General features: G+C 50.0%; 1 protein-coding gene across 3 annotated transcripts in view; it reads left to right on the top strand.

Annotated features, from left to right (window-relative positions):
- KBTBD12 (kelch repeat and BTB domain containing 12) overlaps window positions 1-6,256 on the top strand; it is a 72,446-nt gene extending 66,190 nt beyond the window's left edge. For 2 of the 3 annotated variants that reach the window (NM_001370224.1, XM_047447589.1), the window contains exons 6-7: window positions 2,676-2,858; window positions 6,061-6,256. In NM_001370224.1, coding sequence (NP_001357153.1) covers window positions 2,676-2,857 — 182 coding nt within the window. In that variant the 3' untranslated portion in view covers window position 2,858; window positions 6,061-6,256. Of the gene's footprint in view, window positions 1-2,675 lie in introns of all 3 variants that reach the window. The other variant, NM_207335.4, reaches the window with a different exon arrangement.
- The last annotated feature ends 2,133 nt before the right edge of the window (window positions 6,257-8,389 follow it).

Genomic DNA, 8,389 nt, shown 5'->3' on the forward strand with positions numbered 1-8,389 from the left:
TAACATAACAGATTCTGACATAAATAGAATTACTTCTAGAAACAGTTTATCCCACTTTTGATGTTGCTGAGATTGGTTAGTGGGTGCAAGTATATCTGGGGATTGGGGATTTATTTCATTAGGTTTTGGAGGAAAGAAATTCTGTAATCCAGTGTCCTGCCAGTTTTCCTCAAAAGTTCCCACTTTTTCTCCAGTGTGTTTGTGATACATACCCAGGTTTAAGAAAGATTGTCTTTTTGGCCAGCCACGGTGGCTCACACTTGTAATCCCAGCAGTTTGGGAGGCTGAGGAGGGCAGATCACAAGGTCAGGAAATTGAGACCATCCTGGCCAACATGGTGAAACCCCGTCTCTAATAAAAATACAAAAATTAGCTGGGAGTGGTGGCGGGTGCCTGTAAATATGTATAAGAGCTAAATAACAAGGCCTAATGAACATGTGGAACACCACAGCCAACAGCTACAGGATATACATCCTTTATGAGCACACGTGGATCATTTTCAAAAATTGACTTCCACATGCTGAAACGAGGCTGGGCACTTTACACACATTATCTTCTTTAATTACCATAAAATTGTTAAATAGGCGTCCAAGCTGGAAATCTTCCATTTGTCCCTCCACACTCACCCCTACCCTTCCCCACCTCTCTCTGTGTCCTTCCAGGCTGGCCTCTATAGACAGCATTAAAGGTTCCTTTCCTCTCTGGCTTCTGGATGGTTCAGTTAGCAGGAGGAAAGAGCAGGAAATTATCAGGTGAAAAGAAAGGAGAGTCAGGGTATATTGTAAAGATTTTAAATTTTCTGTATATTGTGATGTTTTGACAACTTAAGAGACCTTTCTGGTTGGGGAATGATTGCCCTCCCCAGGCTGGCCAGTCCTTAAGGACAAGAAAGGGCTCTGCCTGGAGCACATCTTTGCTGTGCACACGAGCCAGCCCAGAGCCACACCTCCTCTGTCTGGCCCCCACACCCCGGGAGACAGTGTGCCTCTGCCTCAGTCATCCCAGGGCCAGGCACCAGGCAACTAGAGACCACTCCTGTCCCCACACCCACTGAAATTATTCAAACCAGCCAGTCCTAAGGTGTCCACTCTCCCCTGCCTGGATTCTCCCGTGGCCTACACCTTCCCCTCACTCCTGTCTTCTGCCTCGTGCCTCTGGGATCTGTGAGGATAAGAAAACTTGTTTTCCTGAGCCTCTCCCTTGCCTGCACCTGACTTTCACATAAAAAGATAGAAAATGCAGGGTATTTGCCCTCCCTGCTGCCTCCCTGCTAAGGATGGCTGTGTCCATCTTTCTCTGCTCAAGACCGGTGCTGCTCCCCAGACAGCTCCCCTGTCCCAGCTCCAGTGCTCTCTCCCTCCCTCGCCTTCCAGGTCTAGGGACAGTGACAGCCCCTTGCTGTGATTAGTGCTGGGTACTGTGCCATCCCCCATGGGCCTTCCTAAGCCCCGCTCACAGCGTTCTAAAGGTCCCTTGACTGAACTCTTCATGTTGCCCAGGTGGAGTATGCTGTGTTTCCACAGGACCCCACCTGAATGTGAGCATCCCTATCCCAAACACAAGCTCAGAGGGCAGCGCTAGCCCAGGGCCACATGACTCCAGCCGTGCCTCCTCTATGGGGGTGGAAATAGGGCAGTTTCAACCCTTGTTCACATCATTGCTAAATCATTCATATGGCATTGGAACACTTTTTCAACTGGAGACAACGGCATGCCCTGTCAGAACTTCTTGAATAATTTTTGACTGAATTGTGAACGTGGCCTTTCTTCGTTTCTTAGAAATCAGGAACACTGCCTTCCATTTAAAGTATCTTTATTCAGTTGTTAATTAATTTTTGGTGCTTAAGTCCTGCTGTGGTTTGAGTTTGTTCTCTCTGAAACTCATGTTGAAATTTGGTCCCCAGTGTAGCGGTGCTGGAGGTGGGGCCTAGTGGGAGGTGTCTTGCCATGGATCCCTCATGAATAGATTAACACCCTCCCTTGGGGGTGAACTTGGGCTCTCATAAGAATGGATTAGTTCCTGGGAAAGGGGGCTGTTAAAAATAGTCTGGCAACCGGGCGTGGTGGCTCACGCCTGTAATCCCAGCACTTTGGGAGGCTGAGGCAGGCAGATCATGAGGTCAGGAGTTCGAGACCAGCCTGACTAACATGATGAAACCCCGTCTCTACTAAAAATACAAAAATTAGCCAGGCATGGTGGCATGTGCCTGTAATCCCAGCTACTCAGGAGGGTGAGGCGGGAGAATTGCTTGAACCCGGGAGGCGGAGGTTGCAGTGAGCGAGATTGCACCAGTGCACTCCAGCCTGGGTGACAGAGCAAGACTCCGTCTCAAAAAAAAAACAGTCTGGCTTTCTTGATTTCTCTCTTTTACTCCTTCCCTGTCCCAGTGACCTCTTTGCAAATGCCCACTCCCCTTCCATTTTCTGCCATGAGTTGAAACAGCCAAGGCTCCCACCAGATGCAGATCCCCAGTCTTGAACTCTCCAGCCACCAGAATCGTGAGCCAAGTAAATGTCTTTTCTTGATAAACTACCCAGTCCTGGGTATTCTGTTAACAGTAACAGCAAGTGGACTAAGACATTGCCTTTTGGAGGAAGTTACTCAGTATGGTGCTGATGGCCTCTGAATTTAATACCCACATGAGATTTTTGTCTTCCCACTTTGCTGTTTTTCAGATCGCCATGAGGTTATCTCCAAAGAAATATTGGAACTGGACCCATGGGAAAACCAGTGGAATGTTGTAGCCATCAACGTCCTCATGCATGACAGCTATGATGTCTGCCTAGTAGCCAGGATGAATCCCCGAGACCTCATCCCCCCGCCTTCAGATTTGGTGGAAGAAGGCAATGAGCACTAAGGTGACCTTGCTGGAGGACCTCCTGCTGTTCTGCAAACAAGGCCTTCAGAACGGAGAGGGCCCACAGCATCTCTGTCATGCCAGTCATGTGCACTGCATGCGTAGTGGCCTGTGTGTGAAGAAGCAGTGTGTGCTGGGCACTGGGTGGGGAGCATGGGGAGTCTCCCTTCAGGGACTTCCCAGCCTGATAGGGTAAATAAGACACTACAAAGAAGAGGTGATGACGGCCACAGGAGGGGCACAGGGCCACAGGAGAGCAGCAGAGGGAGGGTCTCACTCTGCTGGGGACCCATGAACAGCACTGCCAAGGAGCAGACCTTTTATTGGGTCCCCAAAAGGATGAGGAGGAAGTGGTCCCATGGGTGCAGTCAATGATGAGTTCATGGAAACAGCCAAGCAAGGGCCCAGAGACAGAAAGCTCGTGCCTGTCTGCAGTATCCTGGCTGGGCCAGATTGCCTGGGGCACAGGGTTTGTGGTCAAGGCTGGAAAAGTAGGTTGTAGCTAGATGACCAACGCCTGAAAGAATGAGGAGTTGGACCTGGTCTGTAAGCCAGGGAATTGTCTCAAAATCGTGCATTAAGGGAGACTTCTCTCTGTGCTCTGTTCCAGCTTCAGTCTTATAAACACTGACCATTCTCCTTCAGAATCCCCTTCTACTGAAGCAACGCCACCCAGCAGCAGGGCTAGCTGTACTACCAGCCCCTAACAACCAAGGCACTCAAGCCAGACCACAGTGGCCAAGAATCCTGCCCTGGGCTGACTCTGTCCGGGACAGGGATGTGGGGTTCTGCAGCCTGGTCCACTCCGGGGCTGGCAGGGAGTGTCCTGGAGTGGGCTGACCCAGGCTGCCTTTGCCCACCTCTCAGACACATACAACCATCTGCAGGGTAGTCCTGGCTGAACAGGACTCGCCCAAGCCACCCAAGCCAGGGACAGAGAAGGCTCTGGCTGAGGACAGGGGAAGAAGCATCTCCTCCAGCTGCTGCCAACCCCATGGCCCGGCCTTTGCAATAAAGATGGAGCCACCCACTTCAGCCCACAATTGAGCATAATCAGAAGACAGTCACTCCCAAAATATATGTTAGAAATAACATTTAAATGACACATGGGAAGTCCGTCTATCTTACTTCCCGTCTCTAATTCTGGAAGCACAGTGGATTCAATGAGGGCATCTTCATAGCTCTTCTTCAGCAACTTCTCCAAAGAGTTTCACATTGCACAAGGCTCTTTTGGAAGCAGGAGTGGTCAGTAAATTCAGAGGGAGACAAACCCTAAGTAGAGACAGCTTTCTTTGGTGCTGAGCTGTGTGATTGTGATGACCGCTAGCCTGTGCCCCTAGGTTCCAGCTGCCCACCAGGCAGGACAGGCAGGTCTTGCCAAAACTGGAGCCTGTTGGAAACCTATTTCTGCCACCAAGGAGAGGGACCAGGAGACCCAGCGTAGGTTGGCCCCAAGTAGGCTCAACTCGGGAGGGTGGGGGTCCCGCCTTTCTCTTCGCACTTGTGCCCCAAGTGCACTCACAGTACCTGGCATGTGGGTGACCTCTTGGGTGGCCGGCATGGGGCAGTGTTTCTCAATCAGAGGGCCTGGGCCCCGAGCACGTCCAGGAATCTGAGTTAAAGTGAGCTTACTCTTTCCCCAGTGGATGATCATGATCTGTGCATTCTTTTTCTTGCTACAAAGATGTTCCTCCTAGCTGCTGTGTTGGCTGTCGGCGGCCAGGGTTGAGGACGGCCTCCACAGGGCCTCCACTTCCCTCCATTCCTCTTCACATAGTCACTCCACCTGCTCCACCTGCTTGAAAAGTCCAGAAAGCTGCCGCGTCTCCCTGGCTCAAGGAGGCCTTGTTGGCATGTCATGGCACATCTCCTAGATGTTTTGGGTTCAAGATCTGGGTTCCAGCCCCCGCTCTGCTACTTAGCTAACCATGTGAACTTGGGCAAGATGACCTTTCTAAAGCCTCATTTCCCTCATATGCAGAGTGGGAAGGAAAATATTAATACATACTTTATAGGGTTGGTATGAGGATTAAGTGCTGAGCAAAGTGCCTGTGAAATCCTGAAATAATAAGCATGTTTTAGCTGCCATTATTATCATCACTGTCATTATCATTGCAGTCAGCACTTCCCAAAGCAAGGTGCCCAAAACAGACTCAGTGCTTTAGGGAAGTGGGGCAGATGTGCATATGGCTTGTGACGGTTCTTTCTTTTTTTTTTTTTTTTTGAGACGGAGTCTCTCTCTCTCGCCAGGCTGGAGTGCAGTGCAGTGGCACGATCTCAGCCCACTGCAACCTCCGCCTCCCAGGTTCAAGTGATTCTCCTGCCTCAGCCTCCCAAGTAGCTGGGATTACAGGCGCCCACCACCACACCCAGCTAATTTTTGTATTTTTAGTAGAGACGGGGTTTCACCATGTTGGCCAGGATGGTCTCAATCTCTTGACCTCGTGATCTGCCCGCCTCGGCCTCCCAAAGTGCTGGGATTACAGGCATGAGCCCCTGCACCTGGCTGAGATGGTTCTTAATTTCCCATACCCTGTTGCTTGGCTCCTCCAGTTGGCGGCTGAGAGTTAAGCAAGGGTTTACTCGGATCTGAGGCCCCCGATGCCCTCAATGGACACATTCAGGACCCTGTGGCAGCTCAGCAGAGGCACCTGAGGGTCACGCTAGGTGAGACCATCGCCCGCCTGTGGGAGGCAAGATAAGTGGGTAAACATCATTCCTGTCTAATGCGAGGTCTGGGCAGTGTCCCAGTGGAACTTTCCAGAGAGTGCCAAGGGAGGACCGAGAAGGGGCATGACCTCTGCTGGAGCCAGGAGGGCAGTGACCAGGAGCTGGCTTAGCACTGAAGGGAAGCAGGCATCAAGGGCAGGATTTCTCAAACTTCTTCTGAGGAATCCCCGAGGTCGAAACCGGTGCTTCACAGATTTCAGATGTCTGATCTTGATTTTTCTTTGATTCCATACAACAGATTGCTTGCCTGGGTTAGTGCTTATTTTAAGTTCTTGGTGCTTCTTGTCTGACTTCTGTATTTGCAATTAAAAACAACATGACCCTCCCCACCTGCAGCCAGATATCGTTAGAAATTCAACTTCGAAATATATTCCTATCACTCCTGTTTTCACTTTAATAGAAGGCTGTTGCAGTACTGCATGATGGGCTCTTATAAAACTTCTACTATCTGCTAATTCTTATCTTTGTGACAGGATTGTTTGACACTGAGCAAGGAAACACAATAAGGAAGTAATTTGGATGCTAGGCTGGCAGAAGCCTGCAGCTGTCAACCACAGCCTGCCCCAGTGTGTTCAACACGGTGGCATTGTTCTCCCTGACTTCATAATGAGCAAATGTTTCACATTTGAACTTAAGGAATAAATTTTTACTAATAAAAGATCACTTTCATTTTGTTTTTCACATTGCAGTTCCAGGAGATGCTGAGGGTCCCTTGAGTTGGGGAGTGATGGCCAGGGGACAAGCAGCAGGCCCGGGGCAGGGCTGTGAGATGGCTGGGGCAGCAGGGGTGTCCTCAGGGTGCTGCACAGGAGGGCAGCCAGGAAACTAGAGAGAGGCTGGGCGTGGTGGCTCACGCCTGTAATCCCAACACTTTGGGACACCAAGGCAGGTGGATCGCCTGAGGTCAGAAGTTCAAGACCAGCCTGGCCAACATGATGAAATCCTGTCTCTACTAAAAATACAAAAATTAGCTGGATGTGATGCTGCATGCCTGTAATCCCAGCTACTTGGAAGGCTGAGGCAGGAGAATCGCTTGAACCCAAGAGGCGGAGGTTGCAGTGAGCCGAGACCCCACCATTGCACTCCAGCCTGGGCAACAGGAACGAAAACTCCATCAAAAAAAAAAAAAAGTTGACGCCTTTCGCAAAAGACCTGAGGCCACACCGAGAGTTGGGTCTTTACGCCCCAGCAACACGGTCTCAGGCAAGGAAGTCCTCTAAGAACATCATCCACAGCCCAGAGCCACTAAGCAGGGTGGAGCAGCCTGGCAGTCCAGCAAGACGCATGTTGGGGGCCAAGTTGGGGGGAGCCTGGGCGAACCTGAGCAGTGGGATCAGAACAACAGTGTGGGTTGGGTGCAGCCGAGGATAGAGAATGTCTGTGTTTGCTGTCAGATTCAGAGAGAAGGGACAGGCCAGGATTTTGGCCAGAAAAGAATGGCCAGTCAGCCAAACTCAAAGACCAGAAGATCTTACAGGGAGTACCCTATTGGCAAGGGGCCCTCCCCTCCAACAGTGTTCCTAAAACAGAGCCACTACACAGTGGCTTCGGCTGTTCACCCTTGGCCCACCTGGGGTCACCAAGAGACAGGAGAGGAGGCTCTGGGGTGTAGAGTCACGTCACCCACTTGCCTACCTAGCAGACAGTCGGGTGTGTCCCTGCTCTTCCTCATTTACAGAGACAGGGACCCTGACCCAGCTTATATGCCCAGCACAACCCAGGCATAACAATAAACATAACAATCCCATTCCTTTACCAGGGGTTAGTTAGACATGGCCATGTGGCACAATCCCAGCCAAAGAGACATAAAGGGAAGCTTGCAGAGGGGCGAGGGAAAGGTTCTCTCACCTTTAAAAGTGATGTTGAGGAAGAGATGGGCTATTTTCTGCTTAGCAAGTCGGCCTGCCCCCTGGAACTGCAGCCACCGCCCTGCAGTGGTGACAGAGGAGGCTGGAGACTGCCACAGGTGATCCACAGAGGGGGACGGGCCCTGCAGAATCCGGGGCCTTGGTGATGTAATTGAGCCACTAAACCAACCAGGTAGGAGGCTTTTTGCCAGATGCTAATTGTTACAATAAATGTTTCTTATTGTTCAGGCCACCTTGAGTTACTTGTAGCCCAGGATTTCCTAAGTATTACTCCAACCTTCCCCCACAACGCCACCTTCTCTTGGGATAGCATTTGTTACCCCTGCCAAAGAGGAGGACTCAGACAGTCCCTGGTCCCTGGGATGTCAGATGACAAGGTTGTCATTCACTGCAGTACGGTAGCTTCTGCAGGGCTGCTGAAAGCTGATGGTTTATGAGCCTGAGTCACTTCTTAGCTATTTATCCGGTATTGCTTTTTCTCTCAGATCTTCAACATATTTGTTTGTTTACTACAAGTCCCACCCGACACTCATTTTTGTAAATGTCTTATTGGAACACAGCCATGCTCGTTCATTTCTGCACCATCCGTGGCTGCTTTCTGTATTGTCTATGGCCCTTTGCAGAGAAAGCTTGCCAACTTCTGGTGTATTCCATCAAATTTTCTTTTGATGGAAGAAAAATACTGAGCTAAGGGAATATATGTACTATAAAGGAATATATATGCATATTCCTCTATGATATATTACACATGCATACACATACATATATATATATATACACACACAAGACATGGTTCTAACTTATTCTTTCACTCAACAATATCTCTTAAAGACAGTGCTCCATATGGGAGCATGTGGATCTGCCAGTTTCTAACACCTGCACAGTATTCCATCATAGGTGTGGCAGAATTTTGTTAACAAGTCACCCAGAGCTA

Source organism: Homo sapiens, chromosome 3, assembly GCF_000001405.40.
Source record: "Homo sapiens chromosome 3, GRCh38.p14 Primary Assembly".
Taxonomy (NCBI): Eukaryota; Metazoa; Chordata; class Mammalia; order Primates; family Hominidae; genus Homo; species Homo sapiens.